This window comes from Homo sapiens, chromosome 14 (genome assembly GCF_000001405.40).
Source record: "Homo sapiens chromosome 14, GRCh38.p14 Primary Assembly".
NCBI lineage: Eukaryota > Metazoa > Chordata > Mammalia > Primates > Hominidae > Homo > Homo sapiens.
In genome coordinates, this window is record NC_000014.9 from 61,333,512 (window position 1) to 61,354,190 (window position 20,679).

The following is a 20,679-nucleotide window of genomic DNA, read 5'->3' on the forward strand; positions in this document are numbered from 1 at the left end:
AGAAAACAGGAGCTAGGAGCTATAAATTTTAGAGAAAAAGATGTTCTTAAAAATGTGTTCTCACTTATGGCTTCTGGTGAAATATACTAGATGATGACCCATTTTAGGACCTATTTGGTTGTGTTATTTAGGTGTTTTCAAAAGCCTCTATTTTTTTAAAGAGTTTGTTTGAGGTTTGCAGTAGATGAAAACTTAAAAAAACAAAACTAGGACAGTTTGAGTGACCCTGGCTTGGTATCTTTTGTTAATATAAACTTTTCCCTTGTAAAAAGAAATAGGATTCATCTTTTTCATACGCTTTTTCTTAAAACATTCACCCTCTTTTTGAGCTGCAGTGGGCATTATGGTGTTCTGCTGTGTTAGTCTAAGACAAAATGATGAGATTGGTGAGGCCTGCCTGATCCTCTTACCCTTTGAGCCCCAGTCTCCCATGGTCTGGGTCCCCGTGACCCAGCAGATTTTTTGGTCCTCTCTGGAATTCCAGTTCACTCAGTCAGCATCTTACAGACAACCCGATGTTGGTGGAAACTGAGCTGAATGGAGACTGTCCACAGAGCAGCCCCCTAGCTAAAGGTAAAGTGAGAATCCAGCTCTCTAGACTTCAGGCCAAGATTCTTTCCCGACTCCACCTCAGTGTGTGGTGGAGGCAGCAGGGTAGCCATCCAGTCAGTCATTCATAGGTGTTTATTAAGTATCTACCTTGTGCCTGAGCCTGTTCTAGGTGTTACAGGTAGGGCAGAGAACGCAAGACCCAGCATCTCGGCTCTCCAGCACTGCCGCCCTAGCACAGGGAGGTGGATAACAAGCAGGCAAACGCACGATGAAGAAAATGACAAATGCTGGGTAGGTACCAAGTAGAGAATCAAAGCAGGGTGACTTGATTCAGTGTGACAAGGTGGCTGCTTTATCTGGAGTGGTCACTGTCTGCGAAGGACAGGTAAAGCACTGTGCAGCAGACTTGCTGCACAGAGCGGGTGACAATTCAGCTGAGGCCTGACTGACAAGAAGCACACAGCCCTGTGAAGATTAGAGAAAGAGCATTCCAAGCAGAGGCAACAAAGGCCCTACCGTGAGAACAAGCTTGGCAGGTGGAAAAACAGTGGAGGGTGGCAGAAAGAGAGTCGGCTTGGTGTCAGAAAGCTCGGGGCATTGTCCCAGATCTGTTGCTTCCTAGGAGTGTGAACGATGAGCAAGTCCCTCCATCTCTGATGATTAGTTTTTTCTTTTGGAAAATGGTGCTAATGTTTGCTACCTTATAGGCTTGGTGTGAAGATTAGATGAACTACATTAAACATGCCCAGCACAAGATAGGCACTGGAGAAATGCTAGCTTTGGGTGCTTTTTAAATTAATTAATTAATTTATTTAATTTTTTTAGATATGGGCTCGCCATGTTACCCAGGCTGGTCTTGAACTCCTGGGCTCAGGTTATCTTGCTTCAGCCTCCCAAAATGCTGGGATTATAGGCAAGAGCCGCCACTCCTAGCCTGGTTGCTTTTTTTATTTTAATCTTTAACAAAATTATTTATTTATTTATTTTTTGTAATCTTGGCAGGCAAAGCTTTGGTTGCTTTTAATTTCCTGAGGAAATGAATATTTTTGACAAGGGCCTTCTGAAAAGAATCGTACTGGCTGAGGATAGACACCCACAGGGTTGCCTCTTAGAAAAGAGGGTGGTGGTATGAAAGTTTCTTAGGGGTGGGGTAGGGTATAGTCTTGTTGGCGCCCTCAAATGACATCATAGAAGCATCTAGTTATCTCTACCCCCTTCAGTAACATGTTTTCTAAAGAGAGGATGGGGAAAGGAAACAAAGACTCTGAAGTTTATTCCGTATTTTTCAGTTTCTGAAAAGTGTATTTGTTTTCTATGGACTCATAAATATTAATGGAAAGTTTCAATAATTTAGATGGACAGGATAATTGCATTGTAGTGGTATAACTGATAGGGCCCCAACTTGTTTTTATTTGTTACAAAACTATACATTTATGGCTGAGAATTAATAAACATACTAACAGTAATCATAAAGGAAATAAAACCTCAGCCATTGTAAAAAATAAAAATAAAAAAAACCACAACCCCCCCATCTGCCAAAACTAGATATAATTGATTCTTGCTTAATTCTGAAAGCTCATTTACTTTTTGGATTATAATTTTGTGAACTAACTCTGGATAATTTTGCCTATTTTGAATAGTTTTAGATAATGCCTATTTTGGCATCTCCCTGAATATTTCTGACCATCCCTTCAACATTTATTTGGTCTGTTTAAAGAAGACACATTAACATTTGCCTAAGTCACATGAATTAGGATGCAGAATCTATAATTATGGACTAATGATACACAAATACAGGCTTTGAGGAGTATTTATTGGACAACTACCATAATTATCAGTGCATCATAGTGTGATGGTTGGGTGTCAGCCAGATTGGGGTTCAGCTATTCATTCTGCCTCTCATTAGCAGGGATAATTTAACCCCTGCAAGCCTGTTCTCTCATCCACAACACAGTACCTGCCTCACAGGGTTACTTCAGAACACAGTGAGGACTTATGTAAACCATCTACACAGGGCATGACATATACTACCGCAGAAAAATGATTGTTGATGTCACTTTCATTACCACCACTCTACCCTCAGCACTTCAATATGAAGTGATGGGCCCAGCCCTTTTCTGAAGTTAACTTTGAAAGCAGTAAGATATTTATTTACATAGAATTCAAGAGAAGGGATTTTTGAGTACAACTTCCTCACTGGTTTTGCTTTTAATGTAGGATTCTGGAATGTAAATCAGTAGGAGATTTCTAGTTACTGGTGGAAGAGAAGATGGCTTCCTTATCCCGGAATCACAGGGATTGGGGGTAAATTCTGTACATAGGTCCTCTCTGGAAGTTCTTGTAAGGAATATGGGAAAATGAAGCTGGAATTATTATAGTTACAATGTTGGCTAAAGTTGGTTCATGGAAACCTTGAAATTAAGTTTGTTGGTTTGCTTATTCAATATTGGACAGCAGAGGGTCTGAGTTAGTGAGAACCAACAAACCAGAAATAAATCAAGTTGCAATATTTAGCTGCAAAGGACAGAAAGAGGCCTTTGAAAAGCTGAAGTGAGTACTTTTATTGCTGTAATTAAGGGAAATAATGGTAAACAGGCTCTTTCAATTGGCATTAAAATATATTTTCCTTGGTTAGTTTGAATATCCAATACAAGTTGGTGGATGTGAATTGTTCTGTCATGCTTTCAAGGAGGAAAACTCTAGTTTTAAAAGTACGTCATTAGGGCCAGGTGTGGTGGCTCATGCCTGTAATTCCAGCACTATGGGGGGCTGAGGTGGGCAGATTGCTTGAGGTCTGGAGTTCGAGACCAACCTAGCCAGCATGGTGAAACTCTGTCTCTACTAAAAATACAAAAATTAGCTGGGCTTGGTGGTACGCACCTGTAATTCCAGCTACTTGGGAGGCTGAGGCATGAGAATTGCTTGAACCCAGGAGGCGAGGTGGAGGTTGCAGTGAGTCGAGATTGTGGACTCCAGCCTGGGTTACGAAGTGACAGTCTGTCTCAAAAAAAAAAAAAAAAAAAAAAAAGTACATCGTTTGAATATGGATTTATAGATGTATTCAAGGACACCAACAATTTTTTTTTTTTTTTTTTTTTGAGACAGGGTCTCACTGTGTCCCCCAGGCTGGAATGTAGTGGTGTGAACATGACTCACTGCAGTCTCAACCTCCTGGGCTCAAGTGATCCTCCTGCCTCAGTCTTCTGAGTAACTGGGACCATAGGCGTGCGCCACCAAGCTCAGCTAATTTTTTAATGTAGAGACAGGGTCTTGCCATGTTGCTTAGGCTGAACATTTGATTTGGCTTGCAGAAAATATGAAGTACTTTTTTTCCTATGTGGACTCAATTAAACAAAAAATTTTATTTTACAGAGATAGGATCTTACTCTGTTGCCCAGTCTGGAGTGCAGTGGTACATACAATCTTAACTCACTGTAACCTTGACCTCCTGGGCTCAACTGATCCTCTTGCCTCAGCCACCTGAGTAGCTGGGACTACAGTCGTGCACCACCGTGGTTGGCTAATTAGAAAACCTTTTTTCTTATAGAGGTAGGGTCTCACTATGTTGCCCAGGCTGCTCTCTAATTCCTGACTTCGAGTGATGCCACCCTTCATGGCCTCCCAAAGTGCTGGGATTACAGGCATGAGCCACCATGCCCCACCTGGGGACTCATTTGAAGGTGATCATTTCTACTTTTATTTGTTTACTGGACACTTGTTCTGGGACCTAGATCTTTCACAGTTGATTTTAAGTGAAAGGTTTCTGAACTGTATATATACAATATTTCAGAACAGTAATTTCCTTTGCTTCATAGTACGGCACAACAGTGTTTGCACTTGATGTTTAGCGTAGCCTTGGTTTTGGTTGTTCAGAAGCCTTTGTTAGCTCTTTGGTTGTGCCAAGAATATATTGTTTTTGAGTCTCCTTGCCGGGCCTCCTCGCCTTCTTGTCATGCACATCCTGTACCTGGGTTGTGGTTGTATTGATTTGCTGGGGCGCTGCTGTTGCAAATGTCTGGAGTGAATGAGAATGTGTTTGTGGGTGTCTGCCCTCACCTTGGCCACTGATCTGCTTTCAGCCCTGAAGTACTGCCATCTGCATGAACATTAGGGACCCCCAGCCTCCCCCACCACTTAGTAAAGTACCCTGCACATGTTTGGGATTCAGGAAATGTTTGTAGAAAGGAAAAATTCCTTATCATTCCTTACCATTCTCTGTCTTGAGTCTGAGTCATGATTCAAACACTTTTGCTAAAAGGTTTTCGCTTGAAAAATTCATATTCAGGTACAGATTTACTTTTTTTTGGTGTGTGTGAGTTTAAGAGCTGCCTCAGGAGTAGTTTAGAGAGAATGAATATACCAGTATGGTTTTTATTCCCTTGATTACTTAAATAAGTATTAAAGGTGTGTGAAAAGATTAGCTGAATCCTAGGTTCCTCAAACAAAATGTTAACTTTTGTTTGGGTGGTAAGAGATGGATTTCAAAATGGGAAAAAGCGAGACTGAAACCATCATCCAGCACACACTATGTCAGGAATGTATTAATGACAGCCTGCGCTTGATAAGAACAGGACACCAACAGGGGGCATAAACAAGATCTAGGTACAACTGTGACCTTGAAGTGACCTTGAGTTTAAGTTGCCATTTAAACTCATTTTCCTTAAACTGTCCTTTTCTGGCAAAATAAGTGACTCCTGAAGTTGCCTCATTAGAACTCCAATATGCATTTTTCTCTCTGAACTGTTTCTGATGGGTGTTGACTCCTTCTGTTGTCATTTGGTCCTATAGGACCAAACTTGTATATGTAGAATTTTATTTTAAAATAGGAAAAATCATGATTCTGAAAAATTGTGCCTGTCAAGATATTAAATGACTGTTCCCATTAATATTATTGCCATTAATATTTTGAAGTCAAATTACATAGTGACAGCTCTCTGCCTGAATGATACTTACGTTAAAAGGAAGAAACTGTCTGAGAGAATTGGAAGAGATGATAATGAGGCCTCCCCACCACTTTCCCTTTTAAGCCCCTCACCTATCACCTACTCCTCCATCCCCTAGACTTAAGTAGGTTCCCTTACTTTTCTTCTGCTTGGGCCATTGTTTAGAAAGGTCTGAGTCTTGGGATGAGCTGGCCTCCTGTTCAGGCTTAGCCCTCCACCTGCTCTGCCTGGGTCCCCTCTGTGTTCTCCCTGGGCCAGGCCTTCCCTTCTGTGTTTTCATCCTCTCCTGTCCTCCTGACACCTTCATTTAATTGTAACTTTTTTTTTTTTTTTCCGAGACGGAGTCTCACTCTGTCGCCCAGGCTGGAGCGCAGTGGCGCAATCTCAGCTCACTGCAAGCTTTGCCTCCCGGGTTCACGCCATTCTCCTGCCTCAGCCTCCCGAGTAGCTGGGACTACAGGCGCCCACCACCACGCCCGGCTAATTTTTTGTATTTTTAGTAGAGACGGGGTTTCACCTTGTTAGCCAGGATGGTCTCGATCTCCTGACCTCATGATCCACCTGCCTCGGCCTCCCAAAGTGCTGGGATTACAGGCGTGAGCCACCAAGCCCGGCCTTTTTTTTTTTTTTTTTTTTTTTTATAATTAAAGTTAAGGTTGCAGTGAGCTGAGATTGCACCACTGTACTGCACTCCAGCCTGGGTCTCACTCTGTCATCCAGGCCAGAGTGCAGTGGCGCAATCTCAGCTCACTGCTACCTTAACTCCTAGGCTCAAGCCATCCTCTTACCCCAGCCTCCTGAGCAGCTGGGATTACAGGCATGCGCCACCATGCCCCCAGCTAATTTTTTAATTTTTCATAGAGACAGAAAGGTCCTCTAGGTTGCCCAGGCTGGTCTCCAAGTGCGGGGCTCAAGCGATCCTCTTGACTTGGCCTCCCAAAGTGCTGGGATTATAGGAGTGAGCCACTGTGCCTGGCGAAACCTTCATTTTAAAAACATACCCAAATCTTTCTGAGCACTCAGCCTTTCAGTCCTCTGTTGGCCTTGCCCACTATCCTTTTGAGGTGGGGCACAGTGTTTTCCTTTCCCTTCTCAGCCTCTTCCCTGACAGCTGTCTGCAGATGCCCTTCCCTGCCCTGTTCATTTTTCTTCCCGGTGCCCATCCCCAGGAGACTGCGCTGGCGAAGCCCAGGAGTGACAGTGTAGTCAGGTCAGTTCTTCTTTGTCTTGTTGGCTGCTACCTTCTTCAGATTCATTGCTCCCCTGTTTCTGTGTTTTTCCAATGCTTACTGATGTGTTTTTAAGTTTCTTTTTGTATCTTTCCTCATCCCTCAACCTAGTAAATATTGGTGTTCCCCAGGTGGGAGGGGGCGGGGTGGGGGGCGGGGGTGGGTGGGAGGTGGTTTGTCTTTACCTTCTTTTCTTTGTCATGGCGCATGGTCTCGTCAACTTTTAAGTCTCAACAATATTGCCCATATGCCAAGGACTTCCAAAGCTCTGTCTCTTGTCTTCCCCCCTGAGCCCAACTATTGCTTCTGGAACTGGGGCAGGCTTAGGACAAACCACTTTATACTCCGTCTCCTTTAATCCTCACAGTAGACTGTGAGAGAGGAGGAGTGCTGTGGCACCTGCATTTCTCACCCGAGGAAACTGTGGCTTAGACAGGCCCGATATCAGGTCCAGGGTCCCATGTCTGATATGCTTGCTGGACAGACCTGCTTGGACATCCTTTAGGCATCTCCAAGTCAACATGTCCACAATTAAATATCCCATCTTTCCCCTTGACCTGCTCCTCCTCCCATTTTCCCGGTCAGAACTGGTCTTGCCGTTGTTCAGTCACCTGGCCACCATTCTAGACTTTTCTTTCTCCTTTACCTCTTTCCCCACCTCAGTTGATTGCCAAGTCATGCCAGATTGGCTTGGTAAATACTTTCTGACTCAATTTCTTCTTTTCCCCACAATTACCACACTCGTTTGTATCATACATATGGATTATTGTGATGGCCTTGGAACTGGTTTCCATGAATCTAGTTGTATTCCCTCAAATCCATCCTCCATAAACTGCCTGGATGAGCTGTCTAAAACTCAGCCCTAACCTCCCTCCTGCCAGAAGTCGTTTAAAGGCTTCCTGTGCCCTATAAAGTTCAGGCTCCTGGGGAGGGTTCCCAATCGGCTGGCCCTGCCTTCCCCATTCCATCTTCCACCTCTCCTTGCCTTCCAGTTTATGAGCTAAGTACTAATGGACAGACTAGGTTTTCTTGCCTCTGCTCATGTCTAATTCACCTTATTTACAATAAATGTTGGAGGAGGAAGGAAGATACTCCTTTGTAATTTGTACAGAAGGACTTGTATAACATTAGAAAAGATAGGGTTGAATAAGTTACATAGAAAAAATATGTCACTCTCCATGTAACTACAAAGACATCCATAAACAGGCCTGAGCATGCCACATGCACATGTCAGCACAGTTCACAGCATTCACTGAGCACCTGCTGTGGCCAGAGACCACAGTAGATGCTGGGGGTGAAAAGCTCAAGGAGCTCTCCCTGTAGTGAGGGAGGCAGCAGAAACCCACAGTTTCATCATAGGGTAGTTGAGTTTAGGAATAGGAATGGGTACGGGATAGTAGGGGATTGTGAGCCTGAGTATTCAGGGAGGACTTCTTGGAGGAGGTGATGCACAAGTTCTGTCTTCAGGGAAAGTCAGTAGTAACCAGGTCGAAGGTAGTGTAAATTCCTTTTCTCCTTTTTCCTCTTTGGGATTTGTATTTTTCCCATGGAATTTTACCTGTACAGGTCATTTTACACTGGACTAACAATGCTTAAGTGCTTTTTAAAAGCAAACTGTGCCAGATTTATCCCATTGGTAGGAACTTTCTTCATGAGTTCAGAGGCTTTGTCTTGGTTCCCGTTGTATTGCCAGTGCATGGCCCCTGGTAGGTGCTGAGTAAATGTTGGTTGAATTGGATGCCTTGAGGTGAGGCATGAGAAAGGGTTCTCCTCCTCCCCCTGAAGGTGGTGAAGATAGTTGTGACAGTTGAGACTTGCATGGGGCTGACCTTGTGAGGTCCTAAGCCTGGTGACCAGCCTCTGCAGTGTAACTGGGCTGTCTCATGGGAAGGGCAGAGCCTTTCCTACGTGGCCAACTCTGTGTTCTGAACAGGAGTGCCAAACTCATTTGGAGGGGAAGGGAGCGCCCTTTTAAAGCCTCAACTACTAATTAAATTCAAGCAGAAGATGGTGAAGGTGGAGCTAACTCATTTATTAGCATATAATATGATCAACCTAACTCATATAAATGTAGATTATCTTGGTTTGTCTTTTCCTGGCTGCAGAAAAGGCTTGGAGAGGTGCCTTGGATTGTGAGTTAGTCAGTGAGCAGCTGCTTAAAGATTTGAAAAATCCTAGAATATGTCATCTCTGTAGGCTTTATCCTTTAATTAATTATGGATTTTTATCTGCATATATGTGAAGCTAATGATTGACTTGGTTCGGACACTGAATTGTCGGCTTAAACCTGCCATTCCACTGGGCTTCATCACTATGTTCTATGGGTGTGAAGCCTTTGTTTTTTCAGAGACCCATTTCCACCAGCGGGTTTGCACTGTAAGTGTTTCCACAGGAACTCTGCCCTTTGCCAGTGTCACTGTTGTGGCTATGCAGCAGAACCCACAGGGCGGAGGTGTTTCAGCCCTCACTGAAAATGCAACAGATCTTAACATCTCTTGCTGCAAATTTTCCAGTGTGTTCTGGTCTACCTTGGTATCTTAAAACCAGGCTCACTGACTACCACATGAGAAATGACAGTGGGGTGTCTTAAATGATCTGTTGAAGACCAGCAGCCAAAAAGATTGCCCTTAGTGTTTCTCTCTACCGGCTAACATTAGACAATGCCATGTAGAAGCTGCTGTTAGGGTTTGAGAACTGTGTCGCCTCATTCTCAAGATAGCCAAGGAAGTGTCATCTCTGGAGAAGGCAGTTCTGTCTCTTTCAGTTTCTCCATGGATCCGATATTGTTCTGAAAGAGGTGGTTTTACCAATTCGTCTCACACAGACTTCTTGCCTTTACTTTTATCTGACTGCTGACAGGGTGGGCTGGAATATAATCGCTACTTAACTGGACTTGACTTTCAAGGCCTGATTGGCGTTTCCAGTATAGCAGTTGCCTGAGTCATCTAGTTTTGGAACTGATAAATCAAAGGACTGGCTTGGAGGCTAGTGTCCTGTCTGGAGAATGGGCTTAATGTAACTTCAGTTAAGAAATTAATGAATCTGAAATAGTTATAACCCAAGGAAGAGATTTTCCTAAAGAATGTCCCTTTAGAGAAATAATGACCAGTTCCCTCAAAAAAAAAAAAAAAAAAAAAAAAGGAAAAACAGACACTAGACTGGATAGAAAAGACTTACATGTTGAGGCTGATGATTTCTCTTATGGAACTATAAAAGGACTGGACTCTAAGGAAATGAGGGTCTTCAACTTCATTGGTGATATTTCCAGTTGTTCTGGAGCTGTGATAGAACCAGGACTAGAGAATGCAGGGCACGATGATAGATTTTTTTTTATGTAGCACTTTTAAACATAAAAAATATATATCTAATGTGCCAATGCAAGACCTGGCCTTTTTGTAATCAAGTAATATTTTGAGTAATAATTGATTGCACAACATCCTGTGACACACTGTGAAAGAGTAAAATTGGCTTAAAAATTTTAAGTACAAAGACATTTCAGAAGAGTTTTGTCCATAACTTTGTTAGACTGAAATGAGGAATTACATTTGGCACCAGGAAATGGATCTGGATTATTTAGAACAAATGTTTTCCAGGTTTGAATCTTCTATGTGGAAGTACAGCCTGACTTCTTTGCCTTTTCCCTGGTCCGGGATCCTGACAGTCAGTTCTTCAGCTCTGTGCCTCCAGAATTTCATGTTTATGCTGCACAAGGCCTGTATTTTATAATGGTGGCTCTTTTGGACGATGACTTCCTCGATGGTGAAACTTCCAGTAATCTCCCTCATCATACTGAAATGATATCAGTATATCATCAGAACACCATGGAGCTTGTCATTTGAGGGACACAGCTTGCTTGTGTGCTTGGGAAAGAAGAGGTTTAGCATGGTTTCAGGTCAGTGATGAGTCCAATGATCTCTGCAAGTTCCCTTAGCTCTGAGAATTCTGATGTCATATGCACTTCTGCCGCCAGAGTTGCTGCTTACTGGATGCGTAAGAAGAAAGGAAAATAAATGTAAAATGCCTGGCACCACTGAGGAAGTAGGGTGAGGAGTTAAGTTAGACAGTGACTGGCATTTCCCAGCCACACTAGTACAGAAGTGTCCTGTGGTACGAACGGAGGCAGGCTGGGGGGTTCCATTGTGTGCCAGGTGTTTCCATGAAAATAAACTGTTGAGTGCCAGGTATGGCAGCTGCAAACAGGGATTTGGGGGGCAAAATTTAATCTTTTTTTGTGATTTGTTGAATGAAGTGCCTAATGTGTCTCAGTAACTTACTTGAGAGGAAAAGAGCCACAAGCAAGGTAGTGGAGAGTGCTGGATGGTTGCCTTGTGACCAGACCTGTTCTTTTAAGGCCTCTGGAGCCAGCTGTGGGACGATCAATCCAGCAGCTGCAGGTACGCCTCGGGTGACACTTGGGTCTGTAGTCAGCGGGGTTGCCTGTGACTGAGAGTGGCAGAGTGGTCCCTTGCACTGATGAATCCTGACCCTGCTGATCTTTGCTTGGGTGATGGCTGTTTGTGTGCTATTTCTAGAAGTTCCTCCCGCCTGCCTATGTGACCTGTTTTCACCAGATCCAGATTGCTAGCCCCTTAAAGCTTGAAGAACCTTAAAGGTCATCTGGAACAAAAGATTTATTTATTTTTAGCCCGGTGGCCACCCTGAACCCCCCAGTTGATTGATTGAGGCTAGTCTTGAGCGTGCCCTGCTTCACATGCTAGTTTTCCAGTTTCTACTTTGGGAGAATGACCTTATCATTAGGCTGGCCAAGAGGGCTTCTTTCTGTTCCTGTCACAGTACTAGGCTGTATACTCATTCACCCTCAGTTCCCTTTTCTGGTATATTTCTTAACAAATTATTTCCCTCTTTCCACTATTTTTAGGGGTAACAAGTCTAAGATATTTACATATAAATGGCTCTCCCTTCTCAAACCCTTTTCTAGCAAGCACTTTCTGGGAGGACAGTGTCTTACCAGGATCTTCTGTCACTGTGGTCCCTTTGAGGGTAGAAAGAATAGATTGTTGTGAAGTCTTTTGTCAGCCTCTTCATGGTTATAAACGTACTTAGTTTTCCAGACTATGTAGGTTTTAGACTTCAAGTGAAAAGAGTATACGTTGTTATGCAGCAATAGAAAACAAAACAACTACCACAAAATTGTATTTTTTCTCCATCCAGAGGCTTTAACTTTCAACATTTGTATATGGAGGCAAGGCTGACAGCCACAGCAGTAATTTCATGATGGCTGAAATAGCTGTGAACTGTGCATTAACTTGTTCCTTCTCTCTTAAATTCTGCTGCAGTGTTGGAGCAGGGAAGGCGAGCAGAGGAGTGATGAATAGAGTAGCAAGTGGGATAATATACAATAATAGGAGATACACAATAAGGATTAATTAGGTGTCAGGCTAAGTATTTCATGTGCATTAACTAATTTAATCCTCAGAATACCTTCAAGATATTCAGATTCTCTTATTATCCTCCTCTTTGGGAGGCAACTGAGGCTCAGAGAGGTTAAGATACTTGCCCCAAATAAGTGGTGAAGGCTGGGCACGGTGGCCCAGCACTTTGGGAGGCCAAGGCAGGAGGATTGCTTGAGCCCAGGAGTTTGAGACCAGCCTGGACAACATAGCAAGACCCTGTCTCTCTTTTTTTTTTTTTAAAGTTGTGGAGCTAGAGTTTGAGCACCTGCATGGAACCACTAAGCTGCATTACACCTGCCTCAGGTGGTTGATATGAAGAAAAGTAAAAATTTTTCAGATGGACTCTGGGTATTTGCCTTTTAAGGCTATATGCCTTTTAATTCTGATGTAAAGTGGTAGAGAAATGATTAAAGGTTTAAGAGTTGATAGGGCCCTGGGTAGCAGGGACACTTTACATGTGTTGTGTGTGCATCTGCAGCAGATGACAGCTCCCCAAATGGACATGCCTCCCTTGTTCAAGAAAGCTTGTCAGGGTGGCACCAATTTTTTTTTAGCAATTTAATGAATGAGGTATCAAATGATCACATAATACAAATTTGATTGATCTCCTTTTGGATATATCTCCCCTTAAACATTGTGCTGGCTACACTATCCATTTCTATAATACCTTTGATTTTATCCTCTTTACTCCTAACAGTGAATTCCTAGGTAAAGTCACAACTGAATTTATCAGCACAAGCATGCTGCATCATGTTGTACGTTCTGCAAACAGTAACTTGAGATAGTGTGTCATTTCCCAGTTCTTAAGGCTGTGGCCTACACCAATGGTCTTATTTTCCCTTTTGATTTTTTCAAAATTAACTGTTATTTTGCCAATAAGTTTAACATTTCATTGGAGCAATTATTACGTGTCTGGGGTTATGCAACACATGGGATGTGCAGAAATAAAAAGATAGTTTCCCTGCCCTCAAGGAGCTTGTCTTATAGGGGAAACAGATACATAAACACTTCTAGGGCACACAGATTTTCATGTATGTGTGTACTATGGTGTTAATGCAGAATTCTGTAAAGGAATAAAGCTTCCATGATCAAAGCAAGCATGGGCAAATGCTTCACATCTTTCTGCCTGTGTTTTGCGAGCCCATTCTGTTTAATGTGGACTTGATTTAAAGTCGACCTGCAGTCCTGGACTTCAACCAAACAGCCATTATAGTAATGAACATTTAAAGGAGTTATTTTTCCAAAGCATTATAGTTTTTCACATCCATCTTTTCATTCCCTCATTAGCTAATGATGTTGATGTCCTCACAAGCATTGTTTAGGAATGGCTTAGGAATTTTACCGTATGTTTACTTTGGCTTGTCTGCTGCCCCTTGCTTTGTAATCTGTTCACCGGTGATTCAGTTGTTTCTTTGAGTCCCTTTGAAATTGCAAGTTGACGGGTGGGGACTGGTGGGGAAAGAAATCCAGAATAGATATTCCTAAAACTGTGAAGTGAAAATTCAGGAGAGACTGTCATAACTCTGCTTATTTAAGGTGGTTTGGTTTGTGCCAAGCTAAAGGAGGGAATATTGATTGAATTACTTTTTTAAAATGCAATTAATTTTTATTTAATTGTTTTCCCTGGAGTTGTGGGGTTGAGGTATTGCAGTTTAAAGCAGTTTGGATGTGCTGATAATTTTTTTCTGATTATCTTCAAGTCTCCATGGACAGTGTCACTGCAGGTCTATTCATGCTTTCGTTCCTCCTTTACCTGCCTTCATCTGCTTTCTCTGGGCATTGGTACCCATACCCAGGTGTGGTCAGTTGGAGTAACTCCTGCCTTGCTGGGCTTAACTGTGGTGTTTCTGGGCCTAAGGCAATTGGAACATCTGTAGTTTATTTCCTAATCCCAATTTTGTGGAGGTTTGTGTTCTAGCTTTGATTCAATTACTCCTAAGTAGTGGCCCGTATTAAGTAGAGGCTGTGTGAGACAAGACACTTAATGTAGGCCCCTTGGAGCTGCTGGGTCCTTTTCATCAGAATTTGGCTAATGATGCCTCTCTCTTTTTTACACACTAAAGCCTAATATAACTAGTAATGAACCTCATTAATAATTTGTATTGGCAGATGTGAGGTGTCACACATTAAAACTGTTTTACACCATGAGCATTGACTTCATTCGGTCAGTGAGGGAGGATGCAACCACCTTTGCCAAAATAGGAAGGAAGAGAAGACCCAGAGTTTTCAGGGAACGGAATTAAATAGCACTTTAACAAGCTTGGCGGAGGCAGTGGGGTGAGGAGAGGAAGTTAATAGGCCCAGGGAGGAGAGTATCTCACTGGTTTCTCCAAGCTGATTCTTCTGGGTGCCAAGAGAGCTGTGGAAACCCACAGAGGAATGCCCCGGTTCCTTTCCTTCCTTCTTTCTGGTAAGGGTTTAGATCTATTTATTTGATGGTCAGCCTTCCAGTTTTATCAGCACCGGTCTCTTTGTACAACTTCCCAAATGTACAAACTCCAGACAGATGAGTACAGTTGGTGTTTTCCGGGGAGGGTGTTGCTCCCTGTGGTCTGTCACAGCCAGAGAGCAGGGGGCCAGAGAGAGGACTGATTGCCCATATGTTCCACATGAGTCGTCAGTGGTGCACCCAGTTTTAAAATGCTCTGGGGGTGTGTGGCCATGAAGTGGATTTTGAATGAATAGAAGGAAAAAGCTCGTGGATGAAAACCATGAGCCATTTGAACCGTGTGTGGTGTCTGGAAAAACAGGTGGTCTGGCAAAACTGACAAAGTTTGCTTGGGGAAACAGAAGCTTTGCCTCCACCTCTGATGCTTGGGCTGGGATGAAATAAGCCACTTTTCTGTTTAGACTGTGTTTAGATGGAGGGAAGCTTCTTCAGTTCTTTATTGGGTGCAGTGAATGGCAGAACTTTTATTACTTGCATTCTTAATTTTAGTTAGCCATGCTGAGCTGGGTTTACACCCACCTTGGTATGTAATTTCTGTGACCTGTTCCGCTTCCTTCTCTCCTGTCACAGTCACCAAAAGCCACTATGGGTAGCCATTTGTTAATATCACCTTTATTAGGAGTCCTCCAGGCTCAGTTAAGGTCTCCCTCCATCTTTCCACCCCCACTATTTTATGCCTTCGTAGCCACTGGCACTCTGCCTTGCGGCACTTGCACATATTTATAATCAGTGAGTCACCCTCCTAGACTGTAAGCACCATGAGGGCAAGATCTGCAGCCCACCAGCAGCCTCTGCTTCCAGCACAGCACTTGGCACACAGGAAGCACTCTCTTAGTATTTGTTGTACTTGTCAGTGTTTGTTGCCTGAATGACACAGAAGTGTTCCCTGCTGGAGAAGGGATTCGAGTTAAATGGAATCATCCAGAGAATTTGATAAAATGATGATGGCTATCCGTTTATGCTCTTAAAAGTATGCACTTGAGACCTCTAAGTAGATGTTTATTTGTTTATCCCTTTCCAGGGTTCATGTGTTTATCTTGTTTCCTTTTGTATGCATTTTCTGCTTTGCCCCTCACATAGTAATTCTTGGAAGCAAGTAGATCATTGTTTCCATTTCAGTTGAGATCACTTTAGGGGCATGTCTTGGACTTGATGACAGATCTTCCACTATCTTATGCTCCCTACCTCACATTTATTGAGTACCTACTATGTACCAATCCTTAACATTTGTTATTCCAGTTTATCTTCCATCAGTCCTGTTGAGGTAGATATTGTGCCCCATTTTACAGATGAGGAAATCAAGGTTCTGAGAGATTAGATAATTTCTAGGAACATACAACCAATAAAAGGGAAAGGAAGAGTCTGAGTTCAAACCCAGTTCTTTGGTGCTAGGGGTACAGCTGCTGTCTGCAGGGCATGCCAGATGACACCTTTTTGACTCTTTTGGTAGGAAATGGGGAGGAATGCTTGTCACCTTAGAAATGCTGTTCGAGGTTGCTCACACCTGTAATCCCAGAACTTTGGGAGGCCGAGGTGGGTGGATTACAAGGTCAGGAGTTCGAGACCAGCCTGGCCAACATGGTGAAACCCTGTCTCTACTAAAAATACAAAAATTAGCCGGGCATGGAAGTGTACACCTGTAATCCCAGCTACTCAGGAGGCTGAGGCAGGATAATTGCTTGAACCTGGGAGGCGGAGGCTGCAGTAAGCTGAGATCATGCCACTGCCCTCCAGCCTGGGCAACAGAACGAGACTCCATCTCAGAAAATAAAAAAAAAAGAAATGCTGGTATGTCCAAGTCTGTGTTCACTCTTATGTTCATGGTTGTTTTACAAAAGCTGTATTTAGCAAGCACTCAATGACAAGTTATGCCAGCACTGTGCTTGGCATAACTTGGATATATAGGTGAATGAGGCAGCCATACAGAGAAATATGACAAGAGTATGTTTTAAATGCCCCAAAGAAGGTTTATGGAAGGTGCTACAGGAATGTGGAGCTGGGAAAATAACCATCATTTATATAGTGCTTTATATGCTGTCTCTTGCTTTTATATTTGCCCCCATTGTATTGTCTTTCTCTCTCACCTTTCCTCCACGTCTCCTCCCCTCTCCGGAATTTCAGGATTTGGATGCATGTGTACATTTAAGATTTGTTCTAAATACTTGAAAGCACGCTTGCTTGTTAGTTACCTGTCCAAAGCCTGTTGACTGCTGGGCCCCAGAGGAACACTAGCATGTGCCCTTGCCCCGCCTGTTTCTTTGTATACAAACAGTATACAAAACATAGAGAAGAGAACTGACAGATATTTAGATCTATGGGCTTTTATAGAAAATAAGAATTACTTTTCTTCTGTAAGGTCAGTGTTTACACCTTGTCTGCTTGCTCCATACTCCTCTAGAGACTAAAACACCTCATTGCTTCTCAGAATCATTTCTGAAACTGAGGCTAGAAATTACAACAGAGACTCTCTTCTCACCTCTTCACCAGCATCCCTTGCCTCTTAAAGTCACTGAAAGAATATCCCCCCTCCCCCATGGAGGGGTCATAACACTTTTTTGTCTGTCTATTCCAGGAAGCTCGAGTGCTTTACAACGCTTTACCCAGCATCCCTGGGGGCAGGATCGGTGCATGTAGATGTTTACTGTGCCAACCCCTTAAAAGGCCTTCTCTTAGCTTAGACCCTCATCTAACCCAGACTAATAATAAAAAGTCCCCAATAACTTTGCTGTTATAGATCTTACAGTGCTCAGAGATTGGCCCTTTAATATCCATGGTTGGCAAACATTTCTGTAGAGGGATTGTAGGTTATTTTGACTCTCCTTGTAAGTGCCAGTTTGTCTTAAGTGGCCTCAATCAAGGAAACAAGTAGTTCGGCTGCTTCCTCTTTATGGCATCCTTTTGATGAAGCACCACTTACTTTACTTTGCATATTAGGGTCCCAGGATACATGGGTACATGTATTTTTAATCTATCAATCATTTCATATAACGTTAAGTAGAACTGATTTAGGAAATTGCAGAAGTTTCATAAAAAGATACTCTACTAAAAAGCTTTAAGAGAGCTATTGATTCCCAAAAATAGTTGATTGGGCCATAGCATCAGGTGTGCTGATGCAGAACCACATCGTTGTGATTTATTTCTGCTGTCTTTGTGAGGGGATGGAGGACACAGGCTTCTGGAAGAACATGTTTATAAGTCTTCCTTCTCCCAGATGGCGCTTCCAGCTAAGGTCCTGCAGAGTTGCATTCTGCCACCCTTCCTGGAGCCTGAGAGATGGGCGAGGAGTGCAGGTGGTGGTGTTAGGTGGTGGCATGTCAAGGAGGCAGGCAGGAAAAGGCAGACTGATTTTTGGTAGCATTAGTCTTTCTTCTGTCCTTCTCTGCTTTTCTTTATTCTGAATTTTAAGATTTGGATGCATGTGTACATTTAAGATTTGTTCTAAATACACGAAAGCACGCCTGCTTGTTAGAAGGACATATTTGAGGGAACTAAGTGGTGTTCGGAGGCACAGTGACGATTCGAGAGATTCTGGAGGACGCATGTTGGGTGTTGGTGGTTTTCCAGTTGGTATCATAGTGTCATATTCTCTTCAATTGTAGGTTTAGCTCTTTGGGACCCAAAAAGACAAGATTAGTCAGGATAGTGACATGCACTTGGCATGCTGTGGCTTCTGTTGAGGAAAAAGTGACCCAAATTTGAACATCCAACTTCAATTCTTAGTAATTGGCAATGGCTCCTTGCATCTCTTTCTGCTTGACTATAAAACTATAAAATGCTGCTATTAACTTTGAAGGCTGCCACTTACAAGGCTAGGTGAACAGACTTTTATATTAACAACTCAGATTAACCCTGGGAAGCATCTGTGCTCCCTAACGGAGAAGTTGCTTTCACGTTTTTCACGGTCAACCTGGGTGGCCCTCACCATCAGGAGTGTGGAATCTCAAGAGTAACAGCACAAAGGGGTGGCAACTTGAACCCCTGGGTTCTAGTCCCAGGTCAGCTGCTAACTGCTGTATGAACTCAAGGAAGTCATCCAATGGGATCATCTTTTGACAAAAGAATCAGGCCATTAATCACCAAGGTCTTTTCCACCTCTGAATTCTGTGATCTCTACTCTTGTAGGTTTCCTCCCTAATAATTTCTGTAGGTCTGCTTTTTGAACTATTTCCCTTATTTATCCTTTCCTTAAAATCAGGTTTGTTCTCATTCTTCTGGTCCCACCCACATCCACATGGCTGTTAAAGAACACAGTGAATTGATGCAGAAAGATGTCCCAGATATAGGCCGGGCGTGGTGGCTCATGCCTGTGATCCCAGCACTTTGGGAGGCCGAGGCAGATGGATCATTTGAGGGCAGGGGTTCAAGACCAGCCTGACCAATATGGTGAAACCCTGTCTCTACTAAAAATACAAAAAATTAGCTGGGCGTGGTGGTGTGCACTTGTAGTCCCAGCTACTCGGGAAGCTGAGACAGGAGAATTGCTTGAACCTGGGAGGTGGAGGTTGTAGTGAGCTGAGATTGACAGAGCGAGACTCCATCTCAAAAGAAAGAAAGAAAGAAAGAGAGAGAGAGAGAGAGAGAGAAAGGAAAGGAAAGAAAGAAAGAAAGAAAGAAAGAAAGAAAGAAAGAAAGAAAGAAAGAAAGATGTCCTAGATATATTGTTGAGTGAAAAAATATACTAACAGAGAGGCATGCCTGGTATGACCTATTTCTGAAATGAGAATGATAATAGTATCAGTATAGGCCTGCATCGTTAATTTGAAGCAGTTTAAGTCAGATGTGTTTCTGAATTCAGGATTTTTTCAGTTTTACATAGGACAATGTATTAAATACATTTACTATTAAATAACACCTCCAGTGGGGGCTGGGGTGGCATCTGTAATCAAAAACATTAATACTTCTGTGGCAAAACATGGATATTCACACTAAGTGGGGTAAATAAAGATTACACATTGCCTTATGTCAGTTCAGGTAAGATTTTGACAACAAATGTTACAAAATTTGTTTGGGTTTTGAAACTTTTTGAATATTGGGATTGTAGATAAGAGATCGTGGTGGACCTGTATAGCCAAAGTGGGGAAAAATCTGGAAAATGAAGCATCGAGCACTTAGCAATACTTTTCTTGAGTGGAGAAGTAGGGTGGAATTATGGGGGACTTTCATTTCCCAAGTTATATTCTTTACTAGTAAGCATGTATAATTTTATAATCAGAAAAAATGATTAAAGATACTTATGAGATATAAAGATTTACATAAAGTAGCTGGAAACATTTAACCAATCTGTAGCTGTTTGAGACTTATTTATATTAGGACAACTAAGACTTGTTTTCTCAATTTTTCAAACTTTTGTAATGTGATTATATTTCATACACACTTAAAATTTTTTGTAGGTGATAGTATTGGGAAAAACGAAAAGGAATATGTGATCGTAATTAAAATGTCAGTGGATAAAAATAAGGCCCTTGGAGTACCCTGTGGGAAATCAGGAGCCACTTCCTCCTGGATGCTTTATGTAGCACATTATACTGACCTATTAAATAATGAGAATCAGGCTGGGCATGGTGGCTCATACCTGTAACCCCAGCACTTTGGGAGGCTGAGGTGGGAGGATCACATGAGGCCAGGAGTTTGGGACCAGCATGGACAACATAGCAAGACCCCATCGCTACAAAAAAAATAAAAATATAAATTAGCCAGGCATGGTGGCACATGACTGTGGTCCTAGCTACATGGGACACTGAGACAGGAGGACTGCTTGAGCCCAGGAGTTTATGGTTACAGTGGGCTATGATTGCACCGCTACACTCCAGCAGGAGCAACAGAGTGAGACCCTACCTCTGAAAAAATAATAATAAGAAGAATCACATGGATGAAGCAAATGATGATAACCAAAATATAATGTATGGGAGATCACTTTATAAAGATGTAAGGCTATACAATAATTTAACGTGTTTTTGAAGTAACATTGCAATTCCTAAGGGGACCAAAATGAATGGTTGGTCTTAATGGGCTTTGTCTGAAAATTGACTGGAACAATTGCTTCCAAACAGAAGATACTTGGAATTTCATATATGGAATATAGATGAGATGGT

At 42.6% G+C, this 20,679-nt stretch overlaps 1 protein-coding gene across 6 annotated transcripts in view, besides 2 other annotated features; it reads left to right on the top strand.

Annotated features, from left to right (window-relative positions):
- PRKCH (protein kinase C eta) overlaps positions 1–20,679 on the top strand; it is a 363,509-nt gene that overhangs the window by 146,044 nt on the left and 196,786 nt on the right. The window contains exon 1 of one of the 6 annotated variants that reach the window (XM_024449662.2): positions 10,598–10,616. The exons of the other annotated variants lie outside the window; for them this stretch is intronic. The gene's annotated coding sequence lies outside the window, so the exon portion shown is untranslated. Of the gene's footprint in view, positions 1–10,597; positions 10,617–20,679 lie in introns of those variants that run through there. 6 annotated transcript variants of the gene reach the window in all.
- Positions 8,519–8,578: an enhancer, noted in NCBI's record as "active region_8487". NCBI's record gives its function as "activates an Ori minimal core promoter by ATAC-STARR-seq in GM12878 lymphoblastoid cells {active_cell/tissue: GM12878}" and the evidence as "EXISTENCE:reporter gene assay evidence [ECO:0000049][PMID:35858748]".
- Positions 9,138–9,267: a silencer, noted in NCBI's record as "silent region_5819". NCBI's record gives its function as "represses an Ori minimal core promoter by ATAC-STARR-seq in GM12878 lymphoblastoid cells {active_cell/tissue: GM12878}" and the evidence as "EXISTENCE:reporter gene assay evidence [ECO:0000049][PMID:35858748]".